General features: G+C 36.4%; 1 protein-coding gene across 36 annotated transcripts in view; it reads right to left on the reverse strand.

Moving 5' to 3' along the window:
- SSX2IP (SSX family member 2 interacting protein) overlaps window positions 1-25,647 on the reverse strand; it is a 47,040-nt gene that overhangs the window by 16,789 nt on the left and 4,604 nt on the right. For 14 of the 36 annotated variants that reach the window (XM_047444269.1, XM_047444234.1, XM_005270428.3 and 11 more), the window contains exons 2-8: window positions 10,683-10,814; window positions 10,152-10,321; window positions 9,187-9,399; window positions 5,628-5,738; window positions 3,923-4,058; window positions 1,961-2,036; window positions 1,704-1,881 (exon numbers count right to left, since the gene is read on the reverse strand). In XM_047444269.1, coding sequence (XP_047300225.1) covers window positions 1,704-1,881; window positions 1,961-2,036; window positions 3,923-4,058; window positions 5,628-5,738; window positions 9,187-9,399; window positions 10,152-10,321; window positions 10,683-10,725 — 927 coding nt within the window. In that variant the 5' untranslated portion in view covers window positions 10,726-10,814. Of the gene's footprint in view, window positions 1-1,703; window positions 1,882-1,960; window positions 2,037-3,922; window positions 4,059-5,627; window positions 5,739-9,186; window positions 9,400-10,151; window positions 10,322-10,682; window positions 10,815-19,843; window positions 19,894-21,333; window positions 21,491-21,703; window positions 21,974-25,647 lie in introns of those variants that run through there. The other 22 variants (XM_047444231.1, XM_047444259.1, XM_047444208.1 and 19 more) reach the window with 5 other exon arrangements.

The raw sequence follows: 25,647 nt of genomic DNA on the forward strand, positions 1-25,647 counted from the left end.
AGAGGTTAACTACATATAAGAGGTCAAGCAGGCCTCAAAATGGAGAATGTAAAAGATATTCGGGAATTTGAGACCAGCCTGACCAACATGGAGAAACCCCGTCTCTACTAAAAATACAAAATTGGCCGTGGGTGGTGGTGCATGCCTGTAATCCCAGCTACTCTGGAGGCTGAGGCAGGAGAATTGCTTGAACCCGAGAGGCAGAGATTGCAGTGAGGTGAGATGGTGCCACTGGACTCCAGCCTGGGCAACAAGAGCAAAACTCTCTCTCAAAAAGGCCAGACGCAGTGGCTGACGCCTGTAATCCTAGCACTTTGGGAGGCTGAGGCAGGCGGATCACGAGGTCAGGAGATTGAGACCATCCTGGCTAACATGGTAAAACCCCGTCTCTACTAAAATACAAAAAAAAAAAAAAAAAAAAAATTAGCCGGGCATGGTGGCGGCTGCCTATAGTCCCAGCTACTCAGGAGGTTGAGGCAGAGGAATCACTTGAACTCGGGAGGCAGAGGTTGCAGCGAGTCGAGATTGTGCCACTGCGCTCCAGCCTGGCAACAGAGCAAGACTCCGTCTCTTAAAAAAAAAAAAAAAAAAAAAATTTAGGTAATTTTTTTTTTTAAATGTTAAGGAGAAAAAAAGGTAAGTGCTGGGATGGGCTTATCAGCTGGACTGATTTGTGATACCACAAAATAAATAATCCTCAAATACAGGTTTAAAAAACAAGTTCTGGTATCTTGCTGTTAACTAGCATTTTCCATCAACATTATTTTCAGATTTTTATCACTAATGTGAACTTGCTGAAACCTACGATTTTAACTTATACGTAAAGCAATTAAGTAAAATGAACTTTTCACCATTATGTGATTTTTTTTTCAGATCTCTGCATATATTACTCCCATTCTCTGGAATGCTTTCTCCATGTTTTTTTTTTTAACCTCAAAAATACTTATTTTCTAAGAAGCAGTGAAAATGTCACTTTCTCTGTGATGCCTTGATTGCCATAACTATTCTGTTCTGCACATTGTACCACCTTATTACAGCACCTAACACATGTAATAATCACTTCTCCACGTCTGTCTTTCCCAAAAAGAGCTTCTTGAGGGAAAAAGTCAAAATCTTTTTAGCCTTTCCTTTCCAGAGACTAGAACATAAAGAACACCCAATAAATTTATATTTGTTTCCCAAAGTTAACAGAAGTTTCACTCTGTGAAAAGTAGAGTACATAATACTAAAACAACTGAAAGGATATTTGACATAGTGGTTATGATTGTGAGCTCTGGAGTGAGAAACTTGGATTCAAATCCTAGCACTGTCATGTGTGATACTGGGCTACTAAATATTATGCCTTAGTTTCCTTATCTATAAAATGGGGATATTTATAGTATCTAAATCATCAAATTATAATATATGAAATAATCTCATATGTTATGAGGAATATTATAAAATGAGACAATGCTTATAAAGCACTTCTTAACAGTGCTTGACATGTATTAATTCCCCGGAAAATCATCTCCAGCATTTTTCAGGAAATGTCTGAAAACACATAGGAACAGTCTTTTCAGTTGTCACAGTAATTGAAAGTAGCATAGCAGTTGAGTGTCCTATTCAAAATACCAATAGTGTCCCCATTGAGAATGCCTACCACATATTTTAATTATTCTTATTAGCAATCTGAAGACTGTATTAGAGAGGAAAGAGCCACTTACAGTTCCTGTACTATCATCTACTCTTTCTCTAGGTTTCTTCTTTTGGGGAGAAAGAAGAGAAATCATTTCCTTTTTCATTTGTTGAAGAACCTTCTTAAGTTCTGCATTTTCCATTAGGATTTGTTTCTGACGATATTCATAATCATTCAAGAGAATTTTATACATTTCATCTTCATTCCTGAGAAAGAAACTGTCAGTATGAAAATGCAGGATAGAAGGAAGTCTGATTACATTTATCAATTTAAACTGGACTTTACCTGGCTTCAGTTTTACCAGTCCTCCAGGAGCCTCTTTTTCCATCAGCTCTCCCGACATAATTCAAAATGTCCATAGCTACAAACATGAACACATAAAATTAATTCTTACCATACATGCTTAAGCATCTAAAACTCTAATGCATTCTATACACGTAAGTGGTGAAAGTGAACCTGGTATATAGGTTAGGATTTGGGCTTAAACAGCCTAATTTTCGAGTTTCTAGTTCCACCACTTGTAAGCAATGAGATCTCGGCACATTATTTAACTGCTTAGCCTGTTTCTTCTTGGACACTGGGAATAACAAAAGTATCTACCAAAGAGTTGTTGAGAAGACAAAGAAATAACTATTAAAGCACCCAACACAGTAGAGTGAACACAGTATCTGGCGCACAGTAAGTACTTAATAAATGTTACCTTATCATTATTAATTTCATTATCAGGGTTGCCTGATAATGGCCCACAGGCTGGCTGCCTGATTTTGTAAATAAAGCTTTATGGGAACACAGCCACATCTACTTGTTTATATACTGCCTATGGCTACTTTTCTTGTTACAATGGCAGAGATAAGTAGGTGCAACAAATAAGTTGTAGATCCCATAAAGCTGAAAATGTTTACTATATGGATCTATACAGAAAAAGTTTGCCATGTCCTGTTAACATTAACATCATCATTTTCATCAAAGGAGTCAAAGCCCCTGATAGTAGTAATATCTTCTGCTGCAGGTGGACATGGAAACATTTGGCGTAAAAAGGAAAAAGAGTAAATTATTATAATCTTAGAGTTAATAAAATCATTATGAAACTGTCACTTCCGATTGGACCAGGAAACAGCCAGACCGCTATAATGGAAGAGCTCTGTTTCCAGAACTAAATCCTTAATAAACTTCTCTGTGTTACACTTTATACTTTCAGCATTTCATCCTGCTTTTTAATTTTTTTCCTTCATGAATGAATATGAGGCTAACTAAACTTAAAAACCAATGATTCTCCAAATGAGTAAGATTAACTCAGGATACCTAAAGATTTCCAATCTTAACGGCGCATTACTGAATCTTCATTTCTATTTTTCAACAATTTAAAAAATAAAGTATTCAGATACCTCCAACAGCTCTGCTGCAGAATGACAGTGATGTAGTCAACACTAAACTGCTTGCTGACAGCAGGCAGAGTCTACCACATGACAGCCTGAAACGTACGCTCATCGCCTGTTTTTCAAATCTAAGGTAAGACAGTTTAGGGGTGTCACGGTATAATGTATGTTAGAGGACTACCTATAGTCACTAGGAAACCACTCTTCAATAAATAAATACACACACTTCTTGTGCCTCGTATTTATACCAGGCCAGCAAAACTGTATTGTAAAGCTCTACTTTCGTGTTTCTTTGCTTTTTAATTTACACTATCTACTTGAAATTATCCACATATTTGGATGAAATGGCTTAAAGTTTTGAAAAAGACTACTATTAGGAAAAAAGTATACCTTAGACACACACACGCCTAACTTTTATAGTCCATCCTTTTGACTAGCTGCTCCAAAAATGTACAGCTAAACTTATTTAAAGGAACTCAAACTGACATGAACGATTTGGTCTGATGAAAAATTTTATGAGGTTTACTCTAAAATACTTCTTTTGATACTCAGAAACTGACACTGATTTTTAATATTATCAGTTCTTTGCTATGGAAAATTAGAATGTCCTCTGGCTTAGTTTTCCTCTATGGATTAATTCTACACTGGTCATGTTAAAAAATACATGCAATTAAATAAAGCAAGGCAGAATGACTTACTTTCCACTAACCAGTTGTCTACATTTTTTATATAAACAAACACCACTGAAAATCAATTGTATAAAGCATGAAAATAACATTTCGTGAGTTACTGTGTTCAATCCTTTTACAATTATTTCTAAGCATAGTATTAGCTTATTTATTCTCTTAGCTGATCTTTGCCAGCTGTTTACCTATTTTCTTATCTTTCTTGTTCATAACAAGTTGATGTAGACGTTCCTTCAGTTTATTATATTCACGCTCTTTTCTCTTCATATCATGATTATACTGAGTAGCTCGACTTGCAATGATATTTTGTAATTTTTGCACCTGAAAAAGGCATTTGCTATTATAAGCCCAGTAACGATTCACAAATTTGAAAGAGAAAAATCCTAAAATTCATCTCCCCATATAGGTTTTAAAATCCTAGGATGATTCTTCCTTATTTGTAACCAGTAGAAACCACTTTTTTAAATATTATATGAATCACATAAAGTTTTTTTAATTCTGAAATTTCCAGAAGCGCTAATTTTCTAAATTATCTCCTATACCTTTTACCTTACATATAGACTCTGATCATTTAAAAACCAGATATTCTTATGGAAGTATTAAAACGATTAAAACTTCATCTGAGATAAACAGAATTCATCTGATCATTTTTAGTGAACTCCTTGTATTACTGACTTACAATCACTTATACTTTTTATTAATCTGTGACAAAGTGAATTAAGCCTGTGACACATGGCAGCAGGTAAGCAGGCTCGTTTTTCTAATTAAAAACAATTCTCGAGTAAGAGTAAGTCCAAACAGCAGAATAATCCAGTCCAAATATTTGCTGAGTATCTACTAGGTGCCAGACACTGCTGTTCAAAATTTAGATCTATTATAGTTTCTCAGGCAACTCCTGACAGAGTATGTCCTATTCTTTTATAAAGCCATTCCCAGTCCCTGCTAGGGATCAACATGATTAACTTAATCCCTACCGAAGATGAGCTGTATTCAAACCGTTTAAATATAATCAACAGATCTAGTCAAAATTGTCTGTGAACTCAAGGAAACACGTACAAGCAACCTTACAGTTTAAATACTAATTACCTACTACTTACTAAATATACTACTAAATAAACAAATATGGTAAAACAAATCTATCTAAACCACTCCAGGGCGCTTTAAAGAAATACACTCCTCAGAAGTCTTTAATTGTAGTTAAAACAACATATAAAACACTGAAACTAAGTATTATATTTTTATAGTTATTACATGGTCAGGGGTCATACTTTAGAGCAATAAAAACATAATAGTTTCTTTCTACACAAATTAAAAAATATATTTTGAAATGCATTAGTGCTATAGGTCCAAGTAACCACTAAAGTAGAAATTAGAATTCTGCTAAGTAACCACTAAAGCAGAAATCAGAATTGTATCTTTTGTGTCAGAAATTAGATTTTTAATGTGAACTGCTTCTGTGCCCATTTAATGAAGAAACTGGTTGACTAGACGAACAATGTCAATATTTAAGACAGTGCATGCAAGAAGGGGCACCTCAGCTATCACGTACAGGTACAGCAGAGAATAAAAGATCTGCATTTAAAGCACTCTTGTGCCTAAGAAAAAGTGACAGTGAACATGAGTCCAGGAAGGGCAGTCCAGGACACTGGCTGTTACCAGCTATGAACTAATATCTAAGCCAAATGGATCCACTGGGGGCGGGGTCTGTAGTGGAGAGGGTTCCTGAGCTTCCAGTTAAATACTATTACACAAAGGTCCACCATATCAATTTGGGGAAAGATGAATAAATGGTTCTTTCTTTTTTCAAGTAAAGTGGCTCTTATGGTCATCTCATATTACAAAGAAAACAAAAATTCACTTAAACTTCATCTGCAATAACTGACAACTCACCTCATCTTTCTCATTCTTTAGTAGCTGATGCAAATTCCTGTTCTTACATTGTAACTGTCTGTCTCTTTCCTGAAGCCCAATCATTTCCCTCCTGGAGGTTTCCAGTTGTTCCTAAAACATTTATAAGCAATTTTGCTTAAAATTAATAAAGGATTTAGAATAACTGAATCCTTAAAATATCAGTAACAAGAAGTTATACATCCTAGTGTTTATTAGTCAAAATCAAATGTTAGTGGCACATGAAATGTTTATTTAAAGGAATTATTACAAAGCACACTATAAAATAACATTTAAACTTACACATCAAATTTTAATCTACATATCAAATTTTGTACACATATACAAAAGTGCTTCAAAATGGATCCCTGGAAAGAGCATCACTCCATGATGCTGCCCCTGAATATTTTTAAAGTTTATTTTTAATACTTTTTAACACTTCTATACCACACTTTTGAAGATCTCCTCAAGTACAGCAATGTCATCATCCTTCGAGAGTATACTTGGCTTTGAAAAAGAAGCAAAAGTGATTTGGAGCTAAGTCTGAAGAAAAAGATGGGTGACCAAGCAAAGTGGCAACACATCAAGTCACAGAAATGGGACTTCTGTGTGACACCACTTCTCCCTGCAAGTGGTAAAGTCTCTGAAGGTACTTCCCAGAGCGGAATGGCAGCAAAGCCAGAATTAGTATGAAACAAGATGCTCCTTTTCAACTTATCGCATCTGAGGAACTGTGCCGAGTTCTGCATGAGGCCACCCATATGGAATATTTTTAAAATTGTACTAATATTTTTATAAAATTCAAAAGCCAATCAAATTATGTCTTAACCGACCATAAATAATAACTTGCACAATTTCTGTAAGAACAGATCTCAAGAAGGTACAGAAAATGTAGGAGTATAACCTGGATAACTCTAAGGTTGTCAGTTTTTGGCAACCTTTTTTTTTGAATGTGTAAAACTTACTACTAGGGTAGATCAGTTGGCATGACATAACTTACAGGCACTAGGCCAGGTGATATGTAGCATATATGTCAAATCAGAAATTCACTCAGCATGATTATCAACACTTTACCTGAACTCAGCACCACCCCTGAACATCTGCACACACCCCTCCTTCCTTTCTTAGTGAATCACATCGCCATCCTCAGTAACTCAAGGCAGAAACCTGAATGGGGTCTTGAATCCATGACCCCTAGTCTCCAAATTCAATTTTTCATAAAATCCTACCCATTCTACTTCTTAAGTGTTCGTCAGATCTCAATCTTACTTACTATTCCCATTAGCACTACCTTAGTTCAAGTCCAAAACCTCAGCAAAGGGTCGCTAACAGGCATCTTTATCACCAGGGCTTTCTGAGCCCCCTAACTCCATCCCAAATACAAGTCTGCAATTCCCCTATAATTTCTCCACCCCACTGCCAGAATATTTACACATTGTCTTCCTCCTGTTTACAACTCCTCAGTGCTTCCCTGTTTTTGTACAATTCCTTTTACACCATCAGGAGATGAGGCTCCAGCCTTACCTCATACCACTCTTCATACCATCACATACCCATCGCAGCCCCAACAGAGATATTTGTGGTTCCTCTAAAGTGCAGTGATCTCTTATGCTGCTACGCATTTACACAAGTCATATACTCTGCCTAGAATGACATTTCCAAACACTAGCAAATTTCTACTCATTCTTCCAATCTCAGATCAGGTGTTACCTCTCCATGAAGCCTTCCCTTGCGTCCTACCCCAAGAACAATTAATGAAGCAAACAGTTATGTTTCAATATGTCTCCCTTCCCTGGACTGCAATCTCCTCGTGACCTAGGACTGGGGTTTCACTCATCTTTGAAACTCAGTGCCTAGCATATACTCAATAAATTTTGTTCAACAAGTTGGATTAATCATATGCTAGATCTAGAAACTTTTCCAGATAGATTGGCAACTTTCCCCACTGAATACACATTTCTGTCCATAGTTGACCCAAAATAACAAGATTCTGGCCCAGGTCAAATCCCATATTAGAAGACATCCTGAAGAAACAGTCTCTGCTCTGGGTAGTCCTAATAAATGGGACCACTCCTTGAAGTAAAGGCTCAATAGCCTCAGATCACCAACATATCATAATGATTTACTAGCTACTTATAAGACATGTGGCCAAGGGTTACAACTCTGCATCAGCCCAGTACTTAATAAGACCTTCCATAGGTCTCTCTGATCTGGATTAAAGTAGCATCCATAACTCATAACCTTTTCACAAGCCTAGGGGGCACCAAATACCCTCTCCAATCTACCACAGTTCCCCAGTCAGCCAAGACACATAGCTGGATCATCTTTATCCCTTAGGAATATAAGATGCACAAAAGCCTAAAAACATTATTAAGAGAAAACACACTTTTATCATTGTGTATGAACCAAGAAGACAACATAAGACAGCATTATCAATGACAGGATGGTAGGCACAGGTGCTCGTAAAGAGCAAAGATGTCTCTAAACCAATCCCCAAGTGTTTCTAGTGTTCCCATGTAGGCCAACTCTATGCCACATCATTACAGCACATTTCCTGCTAGGGGGTTTTTAAATATTCTATAGACAGGTCCTATTATTCCCTCACAGAGCTCAAAGATTCAAGATTCTGAGTGGGTTTTTTTTATTGTTTTCTTAGATGGCGTGGGGTGGGGGAGGATGTACACAAAGAAAAATAAGGAAAAGTAAACGGGCATGGACCAACAGATGAAAAACTAAAAGAAAGCTGATCATCTGACAGTATGCAAATGCAAAGGCTTTGATTTTCACAAATAACAAAACCCAATATAGAATTGTATATTTAGGAAAAAATTTGACTTGGATTGATTTATATTATACCCTTAATAATATACAACTATAAGTCCCAACCACCCCACGATTTTGAACACCTTGTTCCCTTCTCCTTGGATAAACATTTTAAAAATAAAAATGAAAACATAAAAGGAAGAAAAAGAAAGAAATCAAAATAGAAACCAGCATCAAATATTCTACATTTTAAAGTTAGTAGGTTCAATGGTCCTGTGAAAAATACTTCCTTTTTTTTTTTAAGAGAAAAGCAAGTTTACTAAAGCATTTTTCTATAGTCTTTTCCAGAGACCCAGGGCTTCTAAGGGAAGTTATCTAGTCTGATTTAATTATTGAGCCTTAGCTCATTTGGCATCACAGATGCCTCAATAATATTTTTCTTGGAATTAACCTGTGCAGCCTCTTACAATAAGACTTTTAAATGAAGCATATACTTTCTTAACCAAGATTGGATGGGGTGACAGAATTGTTATTTTATTTTCCCAGAGCATAAATATTTCCTAATCTAACTTTTTACAGATTCGGCAAGTCATTAAACAGCTCAAAAAATTAATGCCTTCAATATACTGTAGGTATTAGGAAGCAGATGTGTGTAAATTATAAGTTCACTTTTACTTACCTGTTTAAAAAGAAAACCCTAAAGCTTAAGAAAACCCTGAAATATTTAATAAAGTCAGTAAAAATTTATAGTACTCAATTATATAATTATGGCATTAAAATATGGATCTGCAATTTCTACCTTAAGTTTTGAGTAGCAGCTCTGTAGATGGTCCATATCACTTCCCAGCTTCAAATTCTGTGTCTCCACATTTTCCTGAGCTAGAAGGTTCTTCCGCTGAAGCACAAGCAGCTCATTCATACAATTTAGTACAGCTACTATATTTAACTCTCTCTTTGTCTCTTTACCTTTGGATTCTTCATATAATGAAGGAAAACCAAAAGTAGTCAATTCCTGGTAGGAGAAAATGTTTTCTTAAAGTTGGTTACAGTTGAGGAGATACTGGTCAGAGGATACAAACTTTCAGTTAGATAGGAAGAATAAGTTTAATAGATCTATTGTACAACACGGTGACCTCAGCTAATAACTACGTACTATATTCCTGAAATTGCTGAGCAAGTAAATTCTCACCACAAAAAATGATATAAGTATGGGAGGTATGCACACTGAGCCATTTCACAATGTGTATTATGAAACATCATGTTGAACATGACAAATATATATAATTTTTGTCAAAAATTAAAAATAAATGTGAATTATTTTAAAAGGTTGGTTACTGGGCAACTTAGTAAAAAAAAAATCAAAAGATAGAAATCTTTTCTTAGAAAAATAGAAAACTATCTTGAAATAGTTAAGAAAATGGTCAATATCCCAAAGGACAAAGAGTTAAGAGGACGGGGCTCTTTTAGTCTCTGCTATAAATCTGTGACATGGAGCAAGGCACTTGGGTTTCTGCATCCATAAAGTGATGGCTGGACTCTCAGTGGAGGAGCCCCTGGGACAATGAGGAGGCCAAGGTGCTCCACACAAAAAAGTTAGACTTGCTATCTCTAGATGAGATAATCACCAAGGTTCTCTGAAAATCTAAGTCTCAGGGGCACTACATAAACAACAAACTTGTGTTTGACAAATGTTTTTCTCATAATTTTGATACATTCTATTATATAACATGATTTATGCTACTGTTTTTTACAAAAACATGTTACCTGATCAAGATATGAGATACTCTGTTCAATATTATCTTCTGTGCAGAAGGCACTGAAAAAACTGTGCACATTTTTCGATAAAGGTATTGAAGAACATAGCACTTGCTGTGAGTATAAACTTGATGGAGACATCTTTGTTTCTGAGGTATATTGAGAGATAGTTTTGCTTTCTGAAAGAATAAAAGGCATCTATATAAATAATTTAGAAAAACGTATGTAAAGCTAACATAATCGCCATTACTAAAGACTTTGAATTACATATATACATATAAACATAGATATAATATATACATACATATTTTAAGGTATTTTCAAATTAGGGCAAAGCCTCTTTATGAAAATGATATACTTTTTTTTCCAAAAAGATACAAATACAGTGGTGTTCTCAGTAGACATGAAAATAAGTATTTTACAACGATTTGTCTCTCTTTAGTCACATCTTCAACATCTGCAGTAATTATTTTATATTTTCATTGAAAAATTCACCTTTACAGTTTCTGCTTTTGTTTACAATTATTTAGACTTAATTACCTGAAGACAGACCTGGATCTGTAACAGTCATCCAATCTCCCATAGCAATCTCTAGAGCCAGGATACCTGAGGAACTAGTTCAGCAGTTAAACATTTAGTCTAGCTGCTGTCACTCTTCTATGTAGGCATCTCCTTAAAAAGCAGATTATAGAATAATAGCATCTAATTTAAAATATGAAAGCCAATATAAACCCAATGCTTAAGAATTAGTTGTATGTGCTTCAAAACAGAAGGATTTTGCAATACCTATTCCCATGCACAGATATAGAACATGGTGTGTGTATATACATAGAAATATAAATAATATGTAAGGATCAAGGTTAAAGGCTTCCCAAGTTCTACTGAGGTATTCATATTACTTTATATACAAGATACATGGTACACGATTTGACTCAACATACATCTAAGGTATAGCATTGTACTAAGTAATATTTCTATATTATATCCTCTAAAATAAAATACAATTATATAGATAAGATGATGAAAAACTTCTTCTTGGCCAGCATTTTCATTTTTGTTTGTTTTTACCAACTATATTGGCAAAACTTGTAAATTACAATTCCCAGTGTTGGCAAAGATGTAGAGAAATGAAACTTCCATATACTCCCTCCAGATTATAGCAATTTACACTACTACCAAGAAAGCTGACAATATGTTTCAAGTCTTAAAATATATTTTGATCCAGAAAATCTACTTCAAAAATATTATCCTAATAAAATGCTGTGTACAAAGATAATCTAAAATGTTATTTACAATATCAAAAGAACAAAAATAATGTGTTTATGTTTCCATAGAAGAATGAGTAAATAAACAATATATTTATACAGCATTTAAACGTAACTGTGTGGAATTAGGATGGCAAACAAACAGCCAAAACTACAAATGAATGGTATGGACTAAGTATAAGACACCTTTTCTGTTTTCATTTATGTTTTCACTTTTTTATAGAGACAATGGAAGAGATAAATATTTCTCCATCATAAGAAAAACAATTCAAATGAAATTGTAAGTGGCAACTGGCAATTGATTTCAAGGTCAGGGGGAAGAGGAGGAAGGGTGAAGACTGCAGGCAGCCTGGGGAACACATGTCAATACTGTGGACAGCTGCTTCTCGGCTACAATAAATTGTGGTCAAGGGGAAAGCGGTTGTGTTGATCTTTGATGTTTTTATGAGATACTGGAACTCTGAATTTTTATGTGAAGTCTCCCAATTTTAAAATGCTAGTAGCTAATTAAAAAAAAAAAAAACTCTATGTATTAAGTTATCCTGTGGGAAAGGGGAGTGGCTAGAGAAGGAAATGAGTGAGTCTGGGGTGCCAAAACTTTTTACATCTTGATCTGAGATGTGGTTATACTGGTACACACAAGATCAGTTCATCAAGTTGTACACTTAAGATCTGTGCACTTGACTGTAAGTTATACCTCAAACAACAGCACTATGTAATAAGCCAAATAAAATGTGTCTTTAGGCCAGATCTGGACTGTGGATCAAGAGTTCACAACCACAGTTCTGAATATTTAAGACTGTGGTAAAATATTCAAAATATAGTGTTAAATGAAAATTTAGTCTGGCTGCAGTGGCTCATGCCTGTAATCACAGCACTTTGGGTGGCTGAGGTGGGTGGATCACTTGAGGTCAGGAGTTTGAGACCAGTCTGGCCAACATGGCGAAACCCCCGTCTCTACTGAAAATACAAAACTTAGCCGGCGTGGTGGCATGCGCCTGTAATCCCAGCTACTCAAGAGGCTGAGGCAGAAGAATCCCTTGAACCCGGGAGGCAAGGTTACACTGAGCTGAGATCGTGCCACTGCACTCCAGCCTGGGCGACAGAGACCCCATCTCAAAAAGAAAAAAGAAATTTATATTCATCCAATAAATACTAATTGAGCTCCTACTATGTGCTACTACGTTTTCCTAGGCACAGGGGAGGCCATGTTCTCAAGAAGTGAAGTTCATATTCTGATGGAGATAGAAATAAATACTAAACAAATGAGCAACAACTTAACAGAGTGATAACTAAAAAGAAAATAAAACATGGTAATATGAGAGAGTATTAAGGTAGGGAGCATCTAGATCAGTGAGAAAACCTCCACTGAAACGGTGACATCTGAAGTGAAACCTAAATGATACGGAGTCAGCCGCAAGAAAATCAATGACCAGAGCAGCCCAGGTAAAGGAAACAGCAGATACAAAGACTTATGATGGATATTAATGTGTTAACGATGAAAAACAGAGAGAAGGCCAGTATATTTGAAGCACAGTAAGCAAGGCTACAGCGTAGGAAGTCGGATTTCCTCTAAACTGCAATGAAAATCTATTGATGTGTTTCTTGTAGGTAGGAAAGTAGCATGTTCTCTTTTATGCTTTAAGAAAGATTACTGTGGCTACTCTGTGAGTAGACTATAGGTAGGCAATTGTAGAAGCTGGAAGAAATCAGGAGGCTACTACAATAGTTCAGGCAAGATGACCAGTGTTAAACTACAGTTCTAACAGTGGAAGCAGAAACAGGCAGATGAATTAGGGATGTGTTCTGGAGACAGAACCTTCAGAACTCAAAGATGGATTGAAATGTGGGCAAAAAAGAAATCAAGGATGATTTCTAAGTTGTAGAGAAGCATATAATATATACTAAGACAGATGATGTTACATGTCATATTACATGTTATGATGTTACACACACACACAGACACAGGAGGTAATTCAGTCTGGCAATGGTCTTTTGCCACTTTTCTACTCATGTGCTTGGTAAGGAAGGGCACCTTGAACTATTTTGTTCTTCCCACTGTCCTTAAATGGGTATTAGCAACAGGATGAGAAGGATAAAGACTGTACCAACTAAGAAAGACACTGATTTTACTTCTAGCTTTCTGAGATAATCACTATAAGTAAAACAGAATCCAAGGGACAATAAACCTATTCTAATAGAACTCTGCTTTGGGTAAATTCCTTAACCTCTCTGAGCCATACCTCTCTGATAAATTACCGTAACAATGAAGCATACCTCCTAAGTTTCCCAAGAGATAAGGTATAATGTACTTATCCCAAGAGATAAGTCATAAAGTATTTAGCACACTGCTTGGCATAGAAGACACACATAAGCTAATATTAATCATCATCATCATTATTATCTAGACACAGGGCTATTTGGTATAAATGACAGGCTTCTAAAACCTATAACAAAATGTACCGCTGCTCTTAATAAAGGTTGAACACATATTCTTAAATGATCTAGAGACAGATATCTTTATAAAAACACAGTAAGCAGTGAGCTAATTTCATAATCAACTGGTTGGGGGGAAAAAACAAGGTCAGAAGAAAACAGTAATAGGCACCTTTCCAATTTGTGTTCTTGTTAAGGTATTTGTAAGTAAGACAATAGTGCCTTAAGTGTCTTTTCTCCTTATACAGAAAGAACACCAAAATGTGTCTATTATATATCCATTCTTTAAAACTGTAAGTCAGTTATTCTCTCTGCGAATTTGGCTCTCCTGTCTATAGATTAGACAGTGAATTGTTCCCTGCCCTATTAATACCAACAAACTTTGTAAAATGTTTACAATGAAAACCAAAACCCCATTTTGAAGTCCTATGAAACAAAAAACTTAACTAACAGTATATGATTTCACACAATCTAAAAGCTTCCATGAATGCTCTTCTGTTCAATGATGTACCAATTACATGCTAGGAGACTTGCGATATAAGAAAAGTTACCCGACCAGTTTTTCCAAGAAAGGGGACTTACGACTCTTTATCAATACATACCCTAAACTAAGCAGTGAATTTAAGCATATTATTGTATTTCAGCTCAAATATAGCTAAAACTGCCTTGCTGAAGGTTGCAAAGCATTTTTTATGAAGATGTTAAGCTAATTCAATGTTAATTTCAAAAGCAAAAGAAAAAGGTAACAGAACCATATCTGTTTTGCATAAATATAATACCATCACAAGCCCATTTCAATTTGAAAGCATCAAATGCAACCAAGAAGGACTCCATTACAAAGTCAGTGCAGGAACACACGTTCATATTATAGATTAATCAAATAATAGTAAGCCATTGTATAGTGGACATGATTATTCCTCACAACTGGATGAGAACAAACTTAGTTTTCTAGCACTGTTACCATAGTTACCTTAGGAGAAAAAAGTAAGCAGTGATTCATGTTTTAGTTCAAGTAATGTGTAACCTAAAATTCTATCTATTAATATGATTGGTTAGAGTATGTGAAAGGCAAGTAAGTCTTGGGACCCTGAAATCACTAAGCCAAAGGGAAAAGTCAAGCTGGGAACTGCATCAGGCAAACCAGCCTCCCATTTTATTCCTAAATAAAATAGCTACAAAGATTAAAAAGCTACATTTGTCCAAAATTCCTTGTGGGCCTCAAGGTTTTTACCCTAAAACAGTTCTGTTGGATTTCACTCTTGCAGTGTAAGCTGATAGCTTATTTTCCAACGTGTGGGACAAAGGACAGAACTCAAAGTTATCCCTCTGCTTACCTGAGACAAATGCACATCTGATTGCTTCCTATGCCCTATTATTTACGTAAAAATGCAGATTCAATGAACCAGACTAAGGTCTAAGTGGCTATTCCTCTACTTCCCTCTCACATGTAAATTGCGTATTCAGTGAAAGGCTGATCAAAGACCCAAAAGAATGCAACCTTTCAACTCATCTACCTGGGTCCTGGAAGCCCCTGCCCCCCTTTCCCTTCCACTTCAAGTTGTCCCGCCTTTCCAGACTGAACCAATTAATGTACATCTTACACATACTGACTGATGTCTCATGTCTCCCTAAAATGTATAAAACCAAGCTGTGCCCCAACCACCTTGGACACATGTCGTCAGGTCCTCCTGAGGCTGTGTCACAGATGTGTCTTTAACCTTGGCAAAATAAGCTTTCTAAATTCCAAGATACAGCTACCCAAATTCCAAGATGGATCAAATTCATGAGTGAATTTTATGAGCAAACCTTGAACATTAAATAATTAAAATATCTTGTAAAAGGCATTTCATTCATTTAAGATTGTCAGGGAACAAACCTGAAATACATCAAAGCAAAAGTATAAAGTAATCCATAAATAAGAGACATAGTTTTGTTCATTAGCGGTAGGTAACACGTATATAGCCATCTAATAAACTTCCTTGTTCAAAGTACTTCTCAACATAGATTCCAATCAATGTCTTTATACTGTAATAGAAAATCTTATAATACTTTTAGTAAAAGCTTTACCTTACTACTTTTGAAGTAGTAAGTACTTTTTAAGTATTAGTACACTGTCTTCCCTATATGTCACTATGGGTTGCAAAGTACCAATGCCATACACTTCAGGTATAAAATAAGAAAGGGAACTCTGGTCTTTTCTGGGTAAAATCATGCAGAGCTTAAATCTATCATTCCTCATGTCCAAGTGTTTTCTCTTTTGCTTTCTGTATTATAGACAGGAACTAGTGCTCAGAGAGATCAACAGGTTTGCCCAAGGTCACATTTCTAATTGGTTGTGAAGCCAGGAAACAAATCTGATTTCAAGACTCTGTGCTCTTTTCCTTTTTTTTTTTTTTTTTTTTTGAAACGGAGTCTCGCTCTGTCACCCAGGCTGGAGTACAGTGGCGCAATCTCAGCTCAATGCTATCTCAGCCTCCCGGGTTCAAGCGATTCTCCTGCCTCAGCCTTCTGAGTAGCTGGGATTACAGGCGGATGCCTAGCTAATTTTTGTATTTTTAGTAGAGATGGTGTTTCACCATGTTGGCCAGGCTGGTCTTGAACTCCTGACTTCAAGTCATCTGCCCGCCTCGGACTTCCAAAGTGCTGGGATTATAGGCGTGAGCCACCATGCCCAGTCAACTCTGTGCTCTTTTCATTCTATCACTATTCAACCTTTCAACTTTGTACACATAAATCTCTATCGTGCATGCACATCCAACTGAAAATAGAATATAATCAAAATGATTTCCACTGTTTATTTAGAAGATTGTGTTCTTATAATCCACTTAAAATGAGTCCATTCAGAGCATACAATTCTCACTGGAACTTATATACTAATTAAGTTGAGGCATACTTGTAAAATTGGTCTCTGCTTGGCCACAAACAATAGCTTTGTTCTTGTTTATACTTCTCTATCGTAAATATCAACACAATATTGAAACTAACTTTATAGACCTTTAGCAAAAACATCTTGTTTTTTCTGGTTAATCACATCTGTTTTTTCCATCAGTAAAGTTCGTTGGCTAGCTCATCTTTTTCCTTCTACCCCAAAGACGAAGAGGTTCTCAATACACAACAATACCTTGTAGAACTTTAGGTAAGCAGTCTCTAGGATGGCTCTCAGTTATTTCTGCCTTCTGGTGGACACGCTCTTGGGTTATTCTGTTCCTTGAGTATGGGCTAGATTTATTGACTAGCTTCCAACAAACAGAATATAGCAGAAGTGAAGGGATTTCACTTCCAAAATTAGGTTATAAAAAGGCTGTGGCTTCCATTTAAGGTTGTTTTTTTACTTGTTGCCCTCTTAAATCCCTCCTCCTGGGGAAAACAAGCCATCACGTTGTAAGCAACTCTATGAGAGGTCCGTGTGGCAAGGAACTGACGTCTGAGGTCAGCAGGATCTGAGGCCTGCCAAAAGCCATACAAGTGAGTTTAGAACTAGATTTTACCTCATTCAAACCCTGAGATGACTGCAGCCCTGTCCAACACCTTGACAGCCTAGTCAGACACCCTGAGCCAGAGCACCCAGCTAAGCTGTGCTCAGATTCCTGACTCATCTGTTCTAAGCTGGCTGTTAAAGCTGCTAAATTTCGGAGTAATTTGTTATGAAGCAACAGATAACTCATACAAGTTTTTAAGTATGTATATTAAATATACATAAATTTCTTGAGAAATTTCGGAGTCCCTTCTAAAACTTAAACCATAATTTACTGAAACATAACTAAAAATGATGCCATACACTACAAATGCCACTGATCAGGTTTTTAACAATGATATCATCCAGTATTACAATTAATCATTCTATAGTATTATGGTTAGATGTCTTCCCGACTAGTTTATGAACTTCTAGAGGGCAGGGAATGTCTGCATCTTTGCAGCCAACAGTACCTGAAACATAGCAGGTGCTCAGTAAATGTTTACAATATGAACCGAGTCCCACTTGTGGCACACTCACTTCAGCCTCTGTGCCTCCACCTGTGCTTCCTTCTTGCACGTATTTCAAAACTAATGCTTTTACAAAACAGTGCACAACCGCCATCCCCATCACATAACCTTCTCCAACTACTCCAGCCCACAAAGCTCAATCTCTAAGCCCTCCATATACTTATTGGTTTGTTTCATCTTTCCCAACCACACTCTCAAGTACCACACATTTTACATTTCTGTATCCCCTCCCTCCCACTAAGCTTAAAGGATGGCATAATCAATGAATACTCAAATAACTGATAACAAATTAACATGTTCATTCTGGCAGGTAGAGGTGGAGAAAGGAAAAGAGCAATGGAAAAGTAGCAAAAGAAGAGTCAATCCTTTACAGAAAAGAATTACTCTCAATTCCCATTTGTCTTGTCCTCTTCACCCCCAAATCTCTGCAACTACAAACTGAAAGAGAGCTCTGCAGAAACACAGTATTCTGATTACAAGATTTCCCTCACAAAGTACAGTACTTTAAGTGTTCTTTTCAAGGTCACTTGAAAGTCAAACTTGAGAAGGTACAATTGCCTACCTACTCAGAATTCTAAAACAATTTCAGTCGACAGAAAATAATAGCTTTCCATTATAGAGGGACATGGTAACTTTACACCATCTGGGCTTCTAAATATTGCACAGAATTTTTCACAAATAGAGCTAACTGAAGTCTTTGCTAAAATCTCACAAAGTTAGAGTTACCACACTGTTGGGTTAAGAAGATAAAACTAAGTGTTGGGTTAAGAAGATAAAACTAAGTCACTTAACATTAGTCCTATTTTACAAATTCAGTCCTAAAACTTAACAATTTAGTCATCAGTATTGACTCTTAAAAACTAGATATATTACAATTATTTAAAACTGTAATACCACCTTCAACTATGATTTTGTTATAAAGGAGACCGTAGCTTTGAATTCCATTAGAAATATCTCTGCACCTTAAAATTGTTCAGATGCGCACATCAGTACAGAAACACATTAAGTCCAACCTCTTAGAAAATCTACTCTTTATGAATTTAAAATCTAAATTATTTCTTCTGAGTGGTGCCATTTTCCAGATATTTTCCACAGAAATAAACTCTTCCTCATAAATTTAAATACACATGAATGGTGCAAACTCAAAAACTGATATTAATAATGTGCCTTCCTGATGTTTTGTGGCCAATAGAGGATTTATAGTTGGAAAGTACAGTGCAAACAATGCCAGCCTCAGAGGCCCGGGTCAACAGACTGATTCATATCTTGACGAAGACACTTATTTCCAAGATGCTCTCTTCAAGATGGTTTCCTCACCTTAAAATGGGGTGATGATAATCTACTTCTTAAGGTTGTGGATATTTAACAGAGTAAGAGGTGGAAAACTAAGTACACTATAACTAGGACATAGGGTACTGGTTTAATAACACATGTGCCAGGAGCTATTCTAAATGCTTTACGTATGTAATTAAGTCAATCTTCACAACAACACTGTTATTTTTTCCTTTTTACAGGTAAGGAAATTGAGGCAGAGAGGTTAGGTAATTTGCCCAAGGTCACAGAGCTAGCAAGTGGCAGAGGCAGGATTCCAACCCCCCAACCCCACATTGGACTGCAGAGCCCATTCTCTTAACCATCACATATTGTTGCTTCAGTGGGTGAGGGGCTCAGGAAGCAGCATCTCCTACGACTACTCCTTTAAGAACCAGAAAAAACAGAACTCAATCTATCTCCCAGTTGGGCTCAGACTGCATAAAATAGTGTGAACACATAAATTATGGTACAATAATTCATGTGTATCTCTGGGTTGAGGGATATAATCTCAATGAAGCTCCTGGCCAAAATCTGCCATTAGAAAGCCATCCTCAGCTTAGAAAGCAGGGAGCTACATGCTGTTCTTTAAATTCCTTATATATCTTTGAACTGATCATTGCTGCAGTATGAGAAACAGTACAGTAAAAGAGTTAAAATCCAAAGCCAGACCATCTGGTTCCAAACCCCGGCTTCTCCACTTACAGACTAAATGGTCCTGAACATAAATCTTCTTTGGGCCTCACTTTCCTCATCTGCAAAAGGAGAGTAAAAGCAGTTTACCTCAAAAAATTATGTGGTTAAACAGTAAATTTAGTTACCAAATTTCTTTAATAATTTTATTAAATAAACTTATGCATGTAGAGGGCTTAAAAAAAGGTCATGGGTACATGGTAAGTGCTCAATAAATGCTAGCTATTATTAGCTATTTTACTCTTGGAAAGACTTCCATGATATTTTGTTAAGTAATGTAAAAAAGTTACAAAACCATATCTAATATGAGCTTATTTAGTCCTCAGGAAAAAAAAACAAATATCAGTAGATATGTACAGGCATAAATTCTGCTCTATAAACACAAAAGTTGGTATAAGGACAGAAAAAATTGCAAGGAAAAACCAACTTAAAAAATAGGGAAAAGGCAAGGGCAGGACTTTCATTCCTTTCTTTATGTACTTTCATGCACAAAAATATAACTTTTATTTTATTGTGTCTTCCAAATTTTCTATAAATGAAAGTGTTTTTCATATTAAGAAAAAAAATTTATGTTTTTAAAAGGCAATTATGGTGATGATAAGCACAGGAAATGGGGATAAACAGCACCATTCTGAACCACCAAAACCAATGGTAGAATGGCATGAGTGATAAAAAATGCATAAAATAAAACAGCAAGCAGTCTTGTTGGGCAAAAACTGGTTAGAAAATTATACAAATGTCCTACAGTTTTTTAAGATAGTCAATTATGTAAGGGAAATAGCACTTTACCAGAGATCAGTAGTTTGTTGTTTTAAAGGGCAATTCCAACAGTATACAAATATTTGAAATGTGTAAATCTTTCCACTAAACAATCATACTTCTAGGCATATAAGAGAGCAAGCATAATATATATTGAGGACATTGTTGAATTGCAGTATTATTTGAAATGGCAAAAAACTAGAGACAATCTTAATATCCATCATGGACAAACTGTTAAAAACCAACACATATGGTACAGCCAGGCTATTCTGGGATTATTAAAGATTAAAGCACATATGCATGTATAGCACAAAAAAAGAAGTTACAGGTTAATTAGAACAGTATGATCACCATTTTTTGTTAACTCAAACTACCTATATATATTTAGGGGAAAGTTCTGGAAAAGTTACAAAATGTCACAAATGACACTTCTTGGGATGGAATAATTTGGGTACAGGGAGGGGTAGAAGAGCAGGGCTTTCACCTCTTCCATAGCATATCTTTATATAGCTTGAATGTTATAGGAGCATGTATTATTCTGTAAAATTTTTAGCAGCAGAGTATTCAAGCACAATTAAATGAGATAATGTGTGAAAGTACTCTTAGCTCAATCCCAAAAAGTAGCAGCCCTGTCCTTGAGTGGAAATCTCGACTTAGACAAATCCCACCAATCAGGTACACTTCTAGCACCTGTTCCACATATGTACGCATACCCATGAGCAAGGGTAATGCAGTCTTCATACCTGAGGGAATGTCTGTGGGAATCTGGCCCATCAGGAAGACAGGGAACAGAAATACAGAGGCCAGACTTTTCCCCAACTATCATCAAGGGCAAAGCCATGGAGTACTGGCAGACCTGGCAAAAGTGGACTCTCCCCCTGGCTTAATGAACAATCCAACCTTGGTAGGAGGAAAGAGGGAAATTGACTTTATTAACACCCTCTTCAAAAACAAATGCTCTTCATCTTTCAACCTTCAATGAATGAAATTACTAAGAAGGTGCATTTCCGCTTCAAGAGAGCAGCTCACAAAGTTAAATACGGTAGGGACTTAATCTATGTACACCATCTGATATTCCATTATATACTGACTTTTTATTGCTAATGTTTTCACCTGTTTTGGACTTGGCTGCCAATTAAACTGTTAGTTTTCCAGGGCGCTGTCACTTCAGGGAAGCTGCACAGGGTACTGAGAGAGCGCTGGACTGAGTAGCATCAGAGGCCATGGTTCTCAGCAACACTTCTGTTATGTACTGAGAAACCTTGAACCGGTCATAATTTCTTTGGGTTTCAATTATGAAGTCAAACTAGATGACCTTTAAAGAATTTCAAGTTCTATTATCTTTTGATTTTTACATTTCTCATAGGACCCAATATGGAACTGAGTACAGCTATTTATATCAAAATTATTTTGTCTTCACTTTTTTTTTTTTTTTTGAGACGGAGTCTTGCTCTGTTGCCCAGGCTGGAGTGCAGTGGGGTGTGATCTCAGCTCACTGCAACCTCTGCTTCCTGGGTTCAAGCAATTCTCCTGCCTTGACCTCCCGAGTAGCTGGGACTACAGGCGCATGCCACCGCACCTGCTAATTTTTGTATTTTTAGTAGAGATGGGGTTTCACCATGTTGGCCAGACTGGTCTCGAATTCCTGACCTCGTGATCCTCCCACCTTGGCCTCCAAAATGCTGGGATTACAGGTGTGAGCCATCACGCACTGCCTTTTCTTCACATTTTTATAACAATGTGCACACATTGTCTTTACAACCCAATGTTTAGCAAATGAGATTCTACCTAATTTTAATAACAATAAAATAATTTATTAAGCATGTAGCAATTACTTGGAACAATTCTAAGCATTTTATGTGTACGAACTTATTCAATCTTACAATGATCCAAATACTTTCCCCCATTACAGATAAGGAAACTGAAGCCTGGAGTTTTCTTGACCTAGGATACAGAGCTGGAACATGACAAAGCCAAAATTCAAACCCTGGTAGTCTAGCACATTTAACATTACACCCTACTATCTTTAGTACAGGAGAGGGGGAAGGATACAATATTCAAGCTGCTTTTTTTTTTTTTAAGTTTTGGGATACATGTGCAGAACGTGCAGGTTTGCTGCACCTATCAATCCGTCATCTAGGTTTTAAGCCCCGCATGCATTAGTTATTTGTCCTAATGCTCTTCCTCCCCTCAAGCTGCTTTTTCAAACCGAACAAGTATTCTCTTCTTTACCACCTCACCTGAAACTAAATTATAATCAAATAATTATGCCAATTGAATAACTGGAATGGGAACTACACAAAAGCAGACAAAATATTAAATTCTGGATGTAGCAATTCAAAAAAATTTTGAAAAACCTAGCAAATATATTGCCAGGCTTTCCCTGCACTGCCATCCCTTCTCTCTGTGCTTCTAGAACACTTAACATGAACTGTATTACAGCACAGATCTAACAGGAATAAAATTTCTCTCCCACCACAACTGAGTTCTCATTTGGCAGGCTTGTCAGCATATTCTTTGTACCCCACTTCGGTAACAGGCATCATCACTCACTCCAAGGTTGGAGCCCAGTCAAGATTGCTGAATGAATGTCCAAGTTCAAGGATGTATTAGTGTAAGGTTTGCTGCTGTTTTAGTATGATAGACAAGTCAACACTTTGGCCATGCTGCAATTTGGAAGGGCTTTCAACGTAATCTTGATTGGTAACAGCTCAGAGAAGGAGAAAGGTGATTCAGGGTATGAATCAAGAGCATGGCAATTTACAAACAGTGTATCAGTTTCAAATTCTTCCAATGTACACACAGGAATAGCAGCAATCATATTCTTAGAAGATTATTAAGAAACAAGAAAAAAAAGAGGCACTTTTAGAAGTCTATCAACTTTTAAGGTTAAAAGTCAGCTAAGAAGTCCAAATCAAATTTTAAAATTACTATTTATTGGTATTTCACTCCTCAAATAATGAAATGGTAATAGCATCTACTAAAGGCATTGGAAATAACAAAGAAACCAAACATAATTAATAAATCTACTCATCGTTTTTTCAATGATTTAGCCCAAATTCAATCATTGGTTATAGTTGTCAACGTGTGGTCCTGGGACCAGCAGCATCAACATCACCTGACTCAATAAAAATGCAAATTATCAAGTGCCACTACAGACCTACAGATTCAGAAACTTTAGTGGTGGGAGAACCTCCACGTAATTCTGACAAAGTTTGAGAATCACTGCTGTGTTCTATAGAATGTGGTTCAGTATAAATTAGTATTCTATTTATATGCACTTTCAATTAGAGAACACCAAAAAGGAATTCTTATCTAAGGGTCCTACAAAATGGATTCCAAGAATGATGTAAAAGTGTTCCAAAGCACTAAATGGAGGCTGAAAATAACAGTCCTAGGGAATGCCTGGCTAAGCAGCTTATTAAACCTTAGAGGATGGGGGGAAACTCTGAAAAATAAACAGTTCATCAGCTGAATATTCATTTATCCTATTCACATACTCTACAGCCCAGCAAGTCCACTCCTAGTGAAACCCAATCGAAACTCTTGCCTACGTATGCCAGGAGGTGTGCACCTATACAGCAGCATTCTTCACAATAGCGAGTAGCACAAGAGTATCACCCTGGAAACAACCCATATACCACCAACAGGAGAATGGATAAATTATGCCATATGCACAAAATGGAATATTATGCAGTAATCAGAAAACTTCAGTGACACATAATATAAATTTCAGTATTATAAAATGAAAAAATTTTCAGAAGATAGGGCATGTAATATATACAGTTTTAAATTATGTGATGCAATAAAACTATAAAAGACACCGAGAGAATGATGAATATAGGATTCAGTAAATAGCTGCCTCAGGTGAGGGACAGAGGAAAAAGGAATGGAGGGGCCCACAGGGTTATGCACAGGGTTAGGTGGTACTTACTGTATTATTAAAACTATAAATGGACCAATTAAACAAACGTGTCATGAGCCAAGGAATATAAACTAATTCTTTACACCTGAAGTCCTTTAAAATGCTTTAAATACATATATATAAAATGTTCCTCCAATATTTCAAACAATTCTAAATTCTACCCAGTCAGTTTGGCTGTGGAGGCACCAAGAGCCCTGGGTCCTTGGCCTTACTGCCAACTCAGGGGTTAAAATGTTTTGGGTCCCAAAACCCAAAGCCAATGACCCTCTTCCTTTAAAAGTACAAGAACAGGCAATTTGGGCTAGAGTTTCAGAGGATCTATGAAGCCATCCATTTGCAAAGGATCCATGGATGGCAAGTTAATAACTCCTGTACTAGCTAATTATGTGAAACTGGTAGGAGAGAAGCTGATGATGAACTCAAGAGCACCTAATGCATGCCAGATGGGGCTCCATTAGCTGTTATCACTTAATCCTCACGCTAGCCCTAGGAAGGAGTAAAGATAGCACTGGTTTATTGATGGAAGAAACTGAGGCAACAGATTAGGTAACTTACAGTTACAAACCTGGAAGACAGAAATAAAATCCAGCTATTTAACCTGGAAAGACTAAAAACTAGCTATTTATGATTCCAAAGCCTCACAGGCCTGGTTTCCTCCTGACATTCAACAAATATGCTGAGCAAATGATATCAATTCTCTGAGCCTATCGCCTCATTATAAAACAACATGGCTAATGATGGGTTGTACTTACAGATTATTTCTATGATGTTGGCTTGCTTTTATAGTCTAGATCCTATGCAGGGGGATATTCCTGAAATTTGGCTATAGAATAGAAAATAAAATCGAAGGCTATAGAATAGAGAATAAAATAGATAGGAAAGCACAACCAGATTACAATTAACAGGCAAATGAAAAGTATAGGCAGTGGCTGGAACCCATCTTGAATTTTAAGTATCTACTTTACACTATTTAGGCTCTATATACGATTTCAAAATTATTTAGTCCTACAATTCTTTTAGAACAATATTTCTCTACAAATCTCCTCCAAACTTAATGCTTGCAAAATAAGTTCTATTTGTAGCACCGTGGCACAAAAATATATTCTCAGTGCTGACTGTATGCCAAGAACTA

The sequence above is a fragment of the Homo sapiens genome, chromosome 1 (genome assembly GCF_000001405.40).
Source record: "Homo sapiens chromosome 1, GRCh38.p14 Primary Assembly".
NCBI lineage: Eukaryota > Metazoa > Chordata > Mammalia > Primates > Hominidae > Homo > Homo sapiens.